A 15599-nucleotide genomic window follows, 5' to 3' on the forward strand; every position below is an offset into this window, starting at 1 on the left:
GCCAGGTAAGGACTGGACTCGGAACGAAGGATGCCTGGACACAGCTGGAGTCCGCCTTTCTGCTGCTGACTTCAGGTTTTCCTCAGCATTTCAGGATGTGCTTACAGATCACCTGGGTATCTCATTAAAATGCAGATTCCAGTTCACTAGGAGGGACTCTATAGATGTAGCAACTCCAAGGTAATACCTACCACTGCTCATTCACAGACCACAGTTTGGAAGGGACCAAAGACAACCAGCTTTGCATCCTTGGCCATTGAGCCTAGCACCAATTTGATTTAATAGATGGAGAAGATTGAGCCATCATTTGACTTTAGCTGATATTTGGAAGTGTGTGCACTCCTGCTAGCTGGCCACCTGTCTGGGTAAGAGAACCCTGAGAATACCCAAGGGCTATGCCATTGGCCCTTGGGAGAACTGGAGTGGTGTTGCTTCTGGTCTTGCTGCCCTGCAGGTTACATTCCCAGGTTGAGCTGAGGGAGTGTGGGGTGAAATGAGATGTGTCCCCATGTTTTTCCCCATTAGCGTTTATGTTCCTTTTTTCTGGGTGGCTGAGAACAGCTGGGGGTGGTGTGGAAAGATAGAGTTTCCTGAGGAATGATGCGCGTCCTCAGATGAGAGCTCTCGGGCAGGAGGGAACTGGGATGTCCTGAGCGGCCGTATGGCAGTGTGGACGGTGGGCGATGGCTAGAGGGGACGAAACAGCCAGAGCTGGGGAGGAGGAACCCAGTGGGGTGTGGCTGGCGGAGATGGCCAAAACTTCAGCTGGAGCACTTCAGAGCACCCTTCAGAGGCGATTCATCCCGAACTGGACCTGTTGCTGATGAAGTCAATGTGGTAGGCAGAATTGCAGCCCCCATGACCTTCACGTTCTGGGGCCATGCCCATGGTTATGCTCTATCACGTGGCAAGAGGGGCTTTGCAGATGAAATTAAGGTAACTGGTGGGTTGACCTTAAAATGGGGAGATTATCCTGGATTATCCGACGGCCCAGTGTGATCATAGGAGCTGTAAGCAGAAGTGAGACCTGAAGCCTCTGGGTTTGGACACATGCTTGCTGTTTTCAATGTGGCTGTGTGGGAAGCCAAAGGAAGTGCATTCTGCCAATGGCCAGTGAGCTTGGAAGCCAGATCTTCCCCAGAGCCTTAAGAGCCCAGCCCTGAGGCCCTGCATAGAGGACCCAGCTGGGCTACATTGTGCCCACACCGCTGACCTACAGAAATGGGAGGTTATGAATATTGTTTTAAGCCACCAATTTCGTGATAATTTGTTATGGAGGCAGATAGAATGCTGATATGGTCATCTTCTCAGTGATGATTACTACTCCAACCCAGTGCTTCTCAAACTGCTCCATCAAGGGCTCCTGTTTAAAATGCAGATTCTGATTGGGCAGTGTCCAGGGTGGGGCCCAAGATTCTGCTTCCTAACAGGCTTTCAGGTGCTGCTGTTGCTTCAAGGGCTACATCAGAGCACGAGGCCCTTGTGTGTATGATTGTGGTTGGTGTAATGCCTGGAATTCAGAGCCCGCGTAAGGAGGGAGGAAGAGGGATCTGAGAGAAGAAAGGCCTAGGATAGAATTTGTTCAGCTATGAAATAACACAGAGGCTGCGGAGAGGTGCCCTGTGTTGGGCCCCTGGCTTTCAGACACTAAGCTTTGTCAGTGTGGTCTCAGAGCCCGGGTTGGATGGGACATTTTCATTTCCTTTGCTATTTTCTGTGGCCCCGTGGGAGGACAGGGGCCTGCAACCATGAGTCCGGCTTCCTGAGGATGGCATGGTTTGGGCCTATTAATGGGATCCTTGTCAGCAGTCTCTTGCTCCTAACTGCATAGGGTGAGGTTCTGGGACCACTGGCTTGGAGATGAAGGGAACTCACCTCATCTGTGCAAAGTTGCTGTCATGTCATTTAGTGAGATACTTCATTTAAAAAATTAATTTAGGGCTGGGTGTGGTAGGGCACACCTATAGTCCCAGCTACTTGGGAGGCTGAAGCAGGAGGATTGCTTGAACTCCTGGGAGATCACAGTGAGACCCCATGTCTTTAAAGAAATATTGAGGCCGGGTGCAGTGGCTCACACCTATAATCCCAACACTTTGAAAGGCCAAGGCGAGTGGATCACTTGAGGTCAGGAGTTCAAGACCAGCCTGGCCAACATGGCAAAATCTCATCTCTATTGAAAATACAAAAAACAAACAAAAAAACTAGCCTGGCGTGGGGGCGTGCATCTGTGGTCCCAGCTACTCGGGAGGCTGAGGCAGGAGAATTGCTTGAACCCTGGAGGCGGAAGTTGCAGTGAGCCGAGATCACACCACTGCACTCCAGCCTGGACGACAGAATGAGACTGCCTCAAAACAAAAAACAAATATATATATATATATATATTCTACCAAAATTCACTTTAAAATGTGTATTGAGGCTGGGCGCTGTGGCTCATGCCTGTAATCCCAGCACTTTGGGAGGCCAAGGTGGGCGGATCACCTGAGGTCAAGGAGTTCAAGACCAGCCTGACCAACATGATGAAACCCCATCTCTACTAAAAATACAAAAAAGTTATCTGGGCGTGGTGGCAGGCACCTGTAGTCCCAGCTACTTGGGAGGCTGAGACAGGAGAATCACTTGAACCTAGGAGGCGGAGGTTGCAGTGAGTGGAGATCACGCCCTTGCACTCCAGCCTGGGCGACACAGTGAGACTCCTTTTAAAAAAAAAAAATGTGTATTGAGCACCACTGTGTGCTAGGCACTGTGCAAGGAGCCTGGGTTACACTGGGGATCAAAACATAATCCCTGCCTTCATGGAACTTACAGATTAGCAACTACCACGAGGCCCAGGCTGCTTCTGCCTGGTACTGTGGGTGGTGGCTGTCCTCTTGGTTCCTAAGGGATAGAGTCAGTTTGGCATGCTTCAGTCTCCAGCTGGGCCAGGCCGGCCCTCAGCCAGCACTCTGCACTCTCCACACCATGAAGCCTCTTAGAAGACATGCAGGAGCTGTGTTTCCATGACTTTATATCCAGAGCCATCCAGTGGGAGGGCAAGCCCCTTACCTACACACACAGTCTTCAGGGCACTTTACTCTTTAAAAATACCCAAAGGCCCAGGCGCGGTGGCTCATGCCTGTAATCCTAGCACTTTGGGAGGCTGAGGCAGGTGGGTCACAAGGTCAGGAGTTTGAAACCAGCCTGGCCAACATGGTAAAACCCCGTCTCTACTAAAAATACAAAAATAAGCTGGGTCACAAGGTCAGGAGTTTGAAACCAGCCTGGCCAACATGGTAAAACCCCGTCTCTACTAAAAATACAAAAATTAGCTGGGTGTGGTGGCAGGCGCCTGTAATCTCACCTACTTGGGAGGCTGAGGCAGGAGAATCATTTGAACCTGGGGAGGCAGAGATTGCAGTGAGCCAAGATTGCACTACTGCACTCCAGCCTGGGCGACAGGGTGAGACTCCATCTCAAAAAAAATAAATAAAAATGAAAATACCCAGGGCCAGGCGCGGTGGCTCACACCTGTAATCCCAGCACTTTGGGAGGCCCAGGTGGGCAGATCAGGAGGTCAGGAGATCAAGACCATCCTGGCTAACAAGGTGAAACCCCATTTCTACTAAAAATACAAAAAATTAGCCGGGCGTGGTTGCGGGCGCCTGTAGTCCCAGCTACTCGGGAGTCTGAGGCAGGAGAATGGTGTGAACCCGGGAAGTGAGCCGAGATCGCACCACTGTACTCCACCCTGGGCAACAGTGAGACTCCATCTCAAAAGAAAAGAAAATTTAAAAAAAAGAATATTGTGATGTGTATAAGTGTGTTGCGAGAAACAAAGATATGGCCAGGTGGGATGGCTCACACCTATAATCCCAGCACTTTGGGAGGCCGAGACGGGTGGATCACCTGAGGTCAGAAGTTTGAGACCAGCCTGGCCAAAATGGCGAAACCCTGTCTCTATTAAAAATACAAAAATGAGCTGGGCATGGTGGCACATGCCTGTAATCCCAGTTACTCGGAAGGCTGAGACAGGAGAATCACTTGAACCTAGGAAGTGGAGGTTACAGTGAGCCGAGATCGTGCCACTGCACTCCAGCCTGGGCAGGCGTGGTGGCTCATACCTGTAATCCTAACACTTTTGGAGGCCGAGGAGGGAGCATCACTTGAGGCCAAGAGTTTGAGACCAGCCTGGGCAACATAGTGAGCCCACATCTCTACAAGAAATTTTACAAATTAGCTATTAGCTGGGCATGGTGGTGCACACCTGCAGTTCCAGCTACTCAAGAGGCTGAGGCAGGGGGATCCCTTGAGCCCAGGAGGTCAAAGCTGTGGTGAGCTATGATTGTGCCACTGTACTCCAGCCTGGGCAACAGAGGGAGACCCTGTCTCTGAATGAATGAATGAATGAATAAATAAATAAATAAATAAATAAATAAATAAATTTGGGGGAACCCATGTTTTGCGCTGTGTCCAGCCACAGAGCCCTCATTAGCCCAGACACATCCGCTGAGCTCCTACCAGCACCTTCATCAGGAGCCCCAGCCAGCTTGGAGACTTCCTCAGGGCTTGTGACACTTCCCTGGGGAGAAGAGAAACGCATCTTGCTCAAAGATGAGTTAATTCACTCACAGGCTAACAGTCAAAAAGAGTTTTATCCCCAAAGAAGTAGCAATAAAATAAGCCAATCCAAGGGGGGAAAGAAACGGACTCTTGGGGAGAGGGAGGAGTATAGAACCTTAACAGCTCCAGCCCATGGATTCTAGAGACCGAATTCTTCAAATTTCATCCCAAAAGAGGTGCACCGCTGGCCTATGAATACACCTGTGGGTGCAGAGAATAAGAGGGAAATACTCTGTGCACCGTACAGGAGGCCTTTTTTTTTTTTTTTTTCGACGGAGTCTTGCTCTGTCGCCCAGGCTAGGGTACAGCGATCTCAGCTCACTGCAACCTCCACCTCCTGGGTTCAAGCGATTCTCCTGCCTCAGCCTCCCGAGTAACTGGGATTACAGGTGTCCGCCACCGAACCCAGCTAATTTTTGTATTTTTAGTAGATATGGGGTTTCACCATCTTGGCCAGACTGGTCTTGAACTCCTGATCTCGTGATCCACACGCCTCGGCCTCTCAAAAGTGCTAGGATTACGGGGTGAACCGCCGCGCCTGGCCTCCACTTACCTTTTAAACCAGGGCTCTTGGCCGGGTGCAGTGGCTCACGTCTGTGATCCCAGCCACTTTGGGAGGCTGAGGCGGGCGGATCACGAGGTCAGGAGATCGAGACCATCCTGGCTAACACAGTGAAACCCTGTCTCTACTAAAAGTACAAAAAATTAGCCAGGCATGGTGTTGGGCGCCTGTAGTCCCAGCTACTCAGGAGGCTGAGGCAGGAGAATCACTTGAACCCAGGAGGTGGAGGTTGCAGTGAGCTGCAGTTGCTGCGCCACTGCACTCCAGCCAGGGTGACAGAGCAAGATCAGTTTCAACAACAACAACAAAGTAAAAGAAAACACCAGGGCTCTCAAACGCTGCTATTGAACACAAGAATGGGGATGGGGGAAATGCTTGTCAGCCCCTCAGGACCCATTACCTGAGGGATGACCTGAAACCTAGTGTGGGGCCCTCTGGCATATGAGGGCTTTCTTCGCCCTGGACATACTGGCTGGCAGGGAAAGCCCTTGGGCTGGAACTCCAAAGTTGAGGTACCTGCTCTGTGCGACTGATTCGATCTCTGTGTGACCTTGGGACAGTCCCCCTCTCTACTGCACGAGCTTCAGGGAAGACATTACAGACACATTCACACAGAAAGCGGCTGGAACCATTAAGCACTTCTGGATCTAGTTCTTAGTCATCTGTTTTTTACTATATATTCCAGATTTCTGGGACCAAAGAGGTTAAAAACTCATTCCCTGCCATGCCCAGTGGCTTCTCTGGGCAAGTGTTCTCTTAAAAGCTGCCCACACTCTATGGAAAAATCCAGTGGCTGCTGGTTAGAACGCGCTTGTTAATGGCAGCAGGCAGCCAGCTGGCTGGTGCCTGCCCGGGTGGGGTGGCAGAGGAAGCAGCTGTTTTGGTCTTTGAACCACAGCTTGGGACTTATGGAAGATACGTAGCTCGCATATCTCTATGGTCTTTTTCTGGCTTATAGAAAACAGTTCACCTTGCTGGTGGGGAGAGAAAGGGTGCAGCGTGCGGGGACCTGGGCTGGTGGGAAAAGCAGTCGGGTTATTGTTCGTGTGCTACAAAGGATGAGGAATTCAGTCCCCAGGATCCACGGGAGGAGCTGGCTGAGACCCTGGGGCCCGGCCTTCTTCCCAAGAGTCCATTTTCCCCTTGGATTAACTTACTTTATTGTTTCTACCGTCCCATGACTTCTGAGGTAAGGCAAGACCACACTTTGCGACTTTGAACTCTTCATCTTGTTCTCTCTTGACAGAGGCTCGTAAGAGGCCAATTTTTCAAACTTGCCTGGGTCATCTGCACTAAAAGTATGAGCACTGTTCGGTTATTTGAAATTAACCAAAAGGTCAATATACTTTGAAAAAGTTTGTTCTTCACTCATTCACTCATTCACTCATTCATTCATTCAACACTGACAACTTACATATCAGGTGCAAGGCCCTGAATTTTACACAGATGAAAGTCCATAAGAAACAAGATCCTGATCATGTTATTTTCCAGAGAATTTTTATTTTATCTTTTTGAGATGGAGTTTTGCTCTTGTTGCCCAGGCTGGAGTGCACTCTGCAACCTCCCCATCCCGGGTTCAAGCAATTCTCCTGCTTTAGTAGCTGGGATTACAGGTGCCGCCACCACGCCCGGTTTTTTTTTTGTTTGTTTGTTTTTTTTTTTTTTTTTTTTTTGGTATTTTCAGTAGAGACAGGGTTTTACCATGTTGGCCAGGCTAGTCTCAATCTCCTGACTTCAGGTGATCTGCCTACCTCGGCCTCCCAAAGTGCTGGATTACAGGCATGGGCCACCGCACCTGGCTGAATTTCTTTATTTTTTAAAGTTGGACAACACCTCCTTCTATACCATGGAATGAGTGTTCCGTGTTTTCAGATAATTTCTCATCTCAGAGATTTTTCACTTGTTTCTGTCACACTGAAAGTTAAGCTGGAGGAGAATTCCTGAGGCGGGTGGATGGCGGCTTATTATGCCTGCAGCTGCAAGCAGTGATGACCTTTTCTCCCTCCTCTTCCAATCAAGAGTTCTGGCCATAAAGGCTAGAGCCATTCACAAAACCCAATACATAAGGTATGGGGGGAGGTACACACATACACACACACACACACACACACACACACACAGCCTCATAGGAGGGAGCAAGACAGGGTGTGCCAAGTACACCCCTACTTTCACCTACTGACGGTGTTGTCTCGCTTCATTTAAACATTTATGTAACTAGGTGCGGTGGTTCATACCTGTAATCCCTATCATTGGGAGGCTAAGGCAGACCAATCACTTGAGCCCAGGAGTTGCCTGAGCAACATGGCAAAACCCCGTCTATACCAAAAATACAAGACAATTAGTCAGGTGTGGTGGCGCATGTCTGTGGTCCCAGATACTTGGGAAGCTAAGGCAGGAGGGTCACTTGAGCTCAAGGAGGTGGAGGTTGCAGTGAGCTGAGATCGCACCACTGAACTCCAGCCTGGGCCACAGAGCAAGACTCTGTCTCAACAACAACAACAACAACAACAAAACACACAAAAAACAAACAAAAAACACAACAAAAAATAATAATTCTTGAAACAAAAGATAAAATTAAGGCCAGGTGCCATGGCTCATGCCTGTAATCCCAGCACTTTGGGAGGCCGAGGCAGGCAGATCATGAGGTCAGGAGTTTGAGACCAGCCTGACCAACATGGTGAAACCCCCTCTCTACTAAAAATACAAAAATTAGCCGGGCGTGGTGGCGCGTGCCTGTAATCCCAGCTACTCAGGAGGCTGAGGCGGGATAATCACTTGAACCCGGGAGGCGGAGGTTGTAGTGAGCCAAGATCGCACCACTGCACTCCAGCCTGGGTGACGGAGTGAGACTTCATCTCAAAACCTAACAAAAAACAGCAACAACAACAACAAATTAGGCCAGGCAAGGTGACTCATGTCTGTAATCCCAGCACTTTGGGAGGTCGAGCTGGGTGGATCACGAGGTCAGGAGTTCAAGACCAGCTTGGCCAAGATGGCGAAACCCCGTCTCTACTAAAAATACAAAAATTAGCCGATGCATGGTGGCAGGCGCCTGTGACCCCAGCTACTTGGGAGGCTGAGGCAGAGAATTGCTTGAACCCGGGAGGTGGAGGTTGCAGTGAGCCGAGATCGCGCCACTGCACTCCAGCCTGGGTGACGGAGTGAGACTCTGTCTTAAAAAAAAAAATTAAAGAAAATCTGTGGTTAACAGACTGTCAACTGCAGAGTGTGTTCTAACACTGTTTATTAAACATGACAAAGTCCTATAGAAAAATTAGAATTTTGCTATGCTATGGGATTATGCATGGGAAGTACTTTATAGGATCTGGAATATATGATTTATATCATATGTAAAGAGATGTCAATTAAAATTGCTCAAATGACAGCTCATCTAAGTTCAGATGAGGAGACTTGCTTGTCAGTCCATTGGTTGATACCCACTAGTACTTTCTTTCTTTATTTTATTTTATTATTATTTTTTCTTGAGATGGAGTCTCGCTCTGTCACCCAGGCTGGGGTGCAGTGGCGTGATCTCGGCTCACTGCAAGCTCCGCCTCCCAGGTTCAGGCCATTCTCCTGCCTTAGCCTCCCTAGTAGCTGGGACTACAGGCACCTGCAACCACACCCGGCTAATTTTTTGTATTTTTAGTAGAGATGGGGTTTCACCGTGTGAGCCAGGATGGTCTCGATCTCCTGACCTCGTGATCCGCCCACCTCGGCCTCCCAAAGTGCTGGGATTACAGGCATGAGCCACCGCGCCCGGCCTCTTTCTTTTCTTTTGTTTTTTTTGTTTGTTTGTTTTGCTCTTGTAGCCCAGGTGGGAGTGCAATGGCGTGATCTTGGCTCACTGCAACCTCCACCTCCCAGGTTCAAGGGATTCTCCTGCCTCAGCCTCCCGAGTAGCTGGGATTACAGGCTCGTGCCACCACGCCCAGCTAATTTTGTATTTTTAGTAGAGATGGGGGTTTTACCATGTTGGTCAGGCTGGTCTCGAATTACTGACCTCAGGTGATCCACCCGCCTCGGCCTCCCAAAGTGCTGGGATAAGATGTGAGCCACTGTGCCCGGCTCACTGCAACCTCCGACTCCCTGGTTCAAGCGATTCTCCTGCCTCAGCCTCCTGAGTAGCTGGGATTACAGGCACATGTCACCACGCCCAGCTAATTTTTGTATTTTTTGTAGAGACGAGGTTTCACCACGTTGGCCAGGATAGTCTCGATCTCCTGACCTTGTGATCCACCTGCCTCGGCCTCCCAAAGCGTTGGGATGACAGGCGTGAGCCACCGCGCCCGGTGTGCCCGTTTTACCAACTGCTGCAGCTGCTGCTGGTTTTCTCATCCCCTCGGCTGAACCACCAGCCCCTCCCTCAGCACCTGGAAGGAGAAATCTGGCGTCTTGCTGGCGGGCTACTGCCCTGCAGCACCTCCATGGCTCCCTGGCTGATAACATAGGGGTGTTGTAAACTTACATTTCTGTGGTTTTCTGCTCATGTTGTTTCTCCCCAGACTTTTCTCCCATCTGCTTCTGTGTTATCTTTTGTTACGATGACAGGGAGTGGTCCCTGCCTGCCCTGGCAGGCACCTGCCTCCCTGGCCAAGCCCCAGCCCAGGAAGTTGCTCATGCTGGGCCCTCCAGGTTCTGAGAAAACTTTCAGGGATTGGGGTAGGGAAGAAAATAGGTGAAAACCCTCTCTCCTCTGCAAGCTTATTTCTTTGGCCTGGCCTGTCTTTAACCTGCACAGTTTATGTGTAGACAAGTCTCCCGGTGCGGGCCCAGCAGGCAGGTGACAGCCGCCCTTGCGGGAGTCATCCTTAACCAAGCAGTTTCAGAAATGTTTCTTGAGAAACTGTTTCCGGAAGTCCCGGAGCCTGTGTTGCCCATTGACAAGCCTTGTCGGTCTCAGAAGACAGACTCCGGGGGTCTACATCCAGAGACCCGGCTGAGGACTGAAGCCCGGGGTTTCCAAGCGGCTGCCTTCTCCGTCCTGCAGCAGGGTGCGAGTCAACCGCCCTGGCTAAGGGAGCAAGGAACCCCCGCCATGCTGTGTCCCCTCCCCCCATTCCCCGAATGCCCGTCTGTTCAAAGAGGGTGAGAGGAGGGGGGAATACCAACTGCTCCGAGGAAAATGCAGTTCATCATATGCATCTTTGCACGCTTTTTTTTTTTTTTTTTTTTGAGACGGAGTTTCACTGTTGTTGCCCAGGCTGGAGTGCAAGGGCGGGATCTCAGCTCACTGCAATCTCTGCCTCCTGGGTTCAAGCGGTTCTCCTGCCTCAGCCTCCCGAGTAGCTGGGATTACAGGTGCCCGCCACCACGCCCTGCTAATTTTTGTATTTTTAGTAGAGATGGGGTTCATCACATTGGTCAGGCGGGTCTCAAACTCCCGACCTCAGGTGATCTGCCCCCGTCGGCATCCCGAAGTGCTGGGATTACAGGCCTGAGCCACTGCACCCGGCCTGCACAACCTTTAATCCGACTTTCAGGAGGTCTCTAGTTTTTGTTCTTAAAAATCATTTCCAAAAGCATTTATTGAAATAAAAGTATGTCATTCTTGTGTCCTTCCACTCCTTTTTTTTCTTTTTTTCTTTTTTTTTTTTTTTTTGAGATGGAGTCTCCCTCTTTTGCCCATGTGGGAGTGCAGTGGCACGAAATCGGCTCATTGCAGCCTCCACCTCCCAGGTTCAAGCTATTCTCTTGCCTCAGCCTCCCAAGTAGCTGGGATTACAGGTGCATCCCAGCCCCTTCTTCCACTCTTAGTCATGACTTATAAACTGAATTTTGGTAATACTTGAGGAAAGTGTTATTTAGCTGATCGTAAGATGGGCCAGAGTCTTTCATGCAGAAGAGCCACCACTGTTCTATTGTCAAAATGGCCTTGTCGCTACTCCAGTGACCTGTCACAAAAAGCAGACATGGCCAGGCACGGTGGCTCACTCCTGTAATCCCAGTACTTTGGGAGGCCGAGGTGGGCAGATCACTTGAGGTCAGGAGCTCGAGACCAGCCTGACTACCATGGCAAAAGAGTCTCTACTAAAAATACAAAAATTAGCCAGGTGTGTTGGCACATGCCTGTAGTCCTAGCTACTTGGGAGGCTGAGGCAGGAGAATTGCTTGAACCTGGGAGGCGGAGGCTGCAGTGAGCCAGGCACGGTGGCTTATGCCTGTAATCCCAGCACTTTGGGAGGCCGAGGAAGGCGGATCACGAGGTCAAGAGATCGAGACCATCCAGGCCAACATGGTGGAACCCCGTCTGTACTAAAAATACAAAAATTAGCTGGGTGTGGTGGTGCATGCCTGTAGTCTCAGCTACTCAGGAGGCTGAGGCAGGAGAATCTCTTGAACCTGGGAGGCGGGGGTTGCAGTGAGCTGGGATCTTGCCACTGCACTCCAGCCTGGCGACAGAGCCAGACTCCGTCTCAAAAAAAAAAAAAAAAAAAAAAAAAAAGCAGACAAAACCTAGATGTTTTAAAATTTTTAAAATAAATCCTGTAGATGTTTTAAAGTTTTAAAAATACATCATGCCCATAATTCCAGCACTCTGGGAGGCTGAAGCGGGAGGATCTCTGGAGGCCAGCATGGGCAACATAGTGAGACCCTGTCTCTACACAAAATAAAAAAACAAGCCAGGTGTGGTGGTGCACACCACGGCTACTGTGGAGACTGAGGTGGGAGGACCACTTGAGCCCAGGAATTCGAAGTTACAGTGAGCTGTGATGGTGTCACTGCATTCCAGCCTGTGACAGAGCAAGACCTTGTCTCTGCAAGGAAAAAAATCATCCTGTAAAATTACTTTTTGTTGTACTCAGACTGAGGAAAACCTTTGCTGGAGGTTTGAAAGCAAATCTATGATGTATTAGCAGAACCAGAAAGTCCTTCCTGTGGAGATGGGACCTTTTCGGTATTGTCATTTTTGGATTTTAGTGCACAAACTTCTCATGATTGAGTTTCGGCTTTTGAGAGCCATGACCAAGTGGTAGGTAGGGCATGAAAGAAGAAAACAAATCTCCTGACCTTAGCATAATGTGTCACAGTACTTTAGGCCCCTTAGCCAAGGCGGGAGATAAGAAGGCAATAAGGAAATGGTTGGATGAATCACTGTGCCCCAGTGGCAAAAATGTCCTGAAGCAATTTGGATGAAAGTGAGAAAGTGGATATGACAAATGCTGCTCTACACTAACCGGATTGGTTGTGCCCCCACCACCCACACCCTCCCCAACTACAGGACTTCCTTCACCACTGTGCATTTTCCACTGAGATGCTCTCCTGAAAGCAAGTTTCAGCAAGAGGCTGGAAAGGCCTCTCAGAGAGAAGGCTGAGCTGGCAGTGATCAGGGAGCCCCCGGGCATTTGGCAGCCGTCCACAGTAAGACCGGCAGATGGAGCCTTCATCTGGCAAGAAACTGGGGAAGCTGGCGGTGTCGTCAGGTGCAAGCTTCAGTGAGAAGTGCCAGCACTCTGAGAAGATGCACAGAAATACAGAAGCAGCTCCCGTAGGAGAAGGAATGGAGGCCGCACGCGGTAGCTCACGCCTGTAATCCCAGCACTTTGAGAGGCTGAGGTGGGTGGATTACTTAAGGTCAGGAGTTTGAGACCAGCCTGACCAACATGGTGAAAACCCGTCTCTACTAAAAATACAAAATATTATCCAGGCGTGGTGGTATGTGACTGTAGTCCGAGCTACTCGAGAGGCTGAGGCAAGAGAATCACTTGAACTCAGGAGGTGGAGGTTGCAGTGAGCCAAGATGGTGCCATTGCACCTCCTGCCTGGGCAATAGAGCAAGACTCTGTCTCAAAAAAAAAGGAATGGAGAAAACATAGCCATAGCTCTGGGAGTAGGAACAGAAGCAAGCAAGCTGACTGCCAGTCGGGTTCTTTCTTCTGGAAAAGGCTCTGGGTTGAAGCTGTCTTCTCTCTGAGGCTCAAGAAGCTGGGCATGGAATTAACTCCGTCAACCAAAAATACAGTTCTAAGTCCCACCCCCCAACCATCTGAATGGACTTTCTCCTTGGCCAGGGCGCTCTTAAAATGTAACCTCAGAGACCGGTTCCGGCCAGGAACGGGAAGTGCCTCATTATACCCGCTGGCATTAACATCAACACAGACCTTACTGATAAGAATCATTTACCATCTATTCTCTGAAGCCTGCGACCTTTTCTCTCCATAATCCCTTATCTTAACCCAGACATTTCCTTTCTATTGATTCCAGGTTTTTAGATAAACTCAACCAATTGTCAACAAGAAAATTTGTAAATCTACCTATAAGCCGGAAGCGCCCCCCACCTTCGAGTTGTCCCACCTTTCTGGACCGAACCAACGTATTTTTTAAACATACTTGATTGAAGTCTCATGTCTCCCTAAAATGTATAAAACCAAGCTGCACCCTGACCACCTTGCACACATGTTCTTGGACCTCCTGAGGGCTGTGTCAGGGGCCATGGTCACTCATATTTGGCTCGGAATAAATCTCTTTAAATATTTTTGAAAATAGTTTGTCTCTTCGTAGACAATTCTGTGGGCTTGCAGGTATCGCCCCTGGTCAGCGGTGTATTCAGTCGCTGTGCCATCCCCCATGTGGCTACAAGAACAAAAGCACCTTCTTAAGCCCAAGAGATACAGTGGTTACTCCCATGAGTCCTTGGACACCTTCACCAAACGGCACTAGTAAGTGGCTCCTCTAGGCCGGGAGGAACGGAGAAGGCACAATACCAGCTTGGCTCACTACTCCAGGAGACCCCTGGGGTAAGGGGCTTGAGCACAGGCTCACCACTTCCCCACCACCGCCACCCTTATTTGGTCTGTGAAACTCCAGGGGGAGTCTTTATGGGAAGATGCATTCCTTCCAATATGTCATCGAGTGCTTACTTAGCCATCTCCTTTTCAAGACCTGGGTCTACTTGCTGGCCCCTGAACTGCTCCACACCCTTCTGTGCCTTCTGATTGTCCACGTGCTCAACTTGTTGGAACATAGGAGATAAGCTATCTAGGGTTCCGGCCTCTCCCTGAGACAGGTAGAGACTGCGTGATCAGGTGCTGAGGGGCTGCTATGTTCCGGAGGTCAGGTGACATTCCACCTGAGGCCTGGGGACATGGCATTCTATATTGACTGCTGTCGCTGTTCTCGCTGATGCTGGTTTGGTGTAAGAGATGATAAGAAAGCATCTTCCCTACGAATTGCAGGGAAGCAATTCTGGGCCTAGCCTCCCAAAGTGCTAAGATTACAGGGGTAAGCCACGGCACCTGGCCACCCTTCTTCTTTTTTTTTTTTTTCAGACAGAGTCTTGCTCTGTCACCCAGGCTGGAGTGCAGTGGCACTATCTCGGCTAGCTGCAAGCTCCGCCTCCTGGGTTCATGCCATTCTCCTGCCTCAGCCTCCCGAGTAGCTGGGACCACAGGAGCCCGCCACCATGCCCGGCTAATTTTTTTTTTTTTTTTTTGAGACGGAGTCTCGCTCTGTCACCCAGGCTGGAGTGCAGTGGGGCAATCTCCACCTCCCAGGTTCACACCATTCTCCTGCCTCAGCCTCCCAAGTAGCTGGGACTACAGGCGCCCGTCACCACACCTGGCTAATTTTTTTGTATTTTTAGTAGAGACGGGGTTTCACCGTGTTAGCCAGGATGGTCTTGATCTCCTGACCTCGTGATCCGCCCGCCTCGGCCTCCCAAAGTGCTGGGATTACAGGCGTGAGCCACTGCGCCTGGCCTATTTTTTGTATTTTTAGTGGAAACAGGGTTTCACCATGTTAGCCAGGATGGTCTCGATCTCCTGACCTTGTGATCCGCCCACCTCGGCCTCCCAGTGTTGGGATTACAGGTGTGAGCCACCGCGCCCGGCCCTGGCCACCCTTCTGAGGGCAATTCATGAAGAGGAACTCAGATGTTGAAAGAGGGTCTCAGTCCTTACTCTCTGGCAGAGCCCCAGAGTACCCACTACCCTCACCCGAACAGCCCACCATTATTTTATTGTTCATTTTTCTTTTTTTTTGAGATGGAGTTTCGCTCTTGTTGCCCAGGCTGGAGTGCGATGGCGCGATCTTGGCTCACTGTAGCCTCTGCCTCCTGAGTTCAAGCAATTCTCCTGCCTCAGCCTCCCGAGTAGCTGGGATTACAGGCGACCGCCACCACACCTGGCTAATTTTTTGTATTTTTAGTAGAGACTGGGTTTCACCATGTTGGCCAAGCTGGGCTCGAACTCCGGGCCTCAAGTGATCCGACCACCTCAGCCTCCCAAAGTGCTGGGATTATAGGTATGAGCCATTGCACCCGGCCTATTGTTCTTTTTTATTTTAATCCCAGCAGTTTGGGAGGCTGAGGTGGGAGGATCACTTGATGCTAGGAGTTGGAGACCATCCTGGTCAACATGGTGAAACACCATCTCTATTAAAAATACAAAAATAGGCCGGGCGCGGTGCTGCACGCTTGTAATCCCAGCACTTTGGGAGGCCG

The 15599-nt window shown here is 50.1% G+C and overlaps 1 long non-coding RNA gene across 1 annotated transcript, besides 1 other annotated feature; it reads right to left on the bottom strand.

The window, feature by feature from the left end:
- Window positions 1-6293: 6293 nt before the first annotated feature.
- Window positions 6294-10355, bottom strand: LOC124909442 (uncharacterized). The gene is made up of 2 exons (XR_007096121.1): window positions 9627-10355; window positions 6294-6450 (listed from the first exon to the last, which is right to left on the bottom strand). It is a non-coding gene; the product is annotated as an uncharacterized LOC124909442 (long non-coding RNA).
- Window positions 9680-10526: an enhancer, noted in NCBI's record as "H3K4me1 hESC enhancer chr3:141656589-141657435 (GRCh37/hg19 assembly coordinates)". NCBI's record gives its function as "activates a minimal SCP1, AML or CMV promoter by ChIP-STARR-seq in primed H9 embryonic stem cells {active_cell/tissue: H9 hESC(primed)}" and the evidence as "EXISTENCE:reporter gene assay evidence [ECO:0000049][PMID:30033119]".

Source organism: Homo sapiens, chromosome 3 (assembly GCF_000001405.40).
Source record: "Homo sapiens chromosome 3, GRCh38.p14 Primary Assembly".
NCBI lineage: Eukaryota > Metazoa > Chordata > Mammalia > Primates > Hominidae > Homo > Homo sapiens.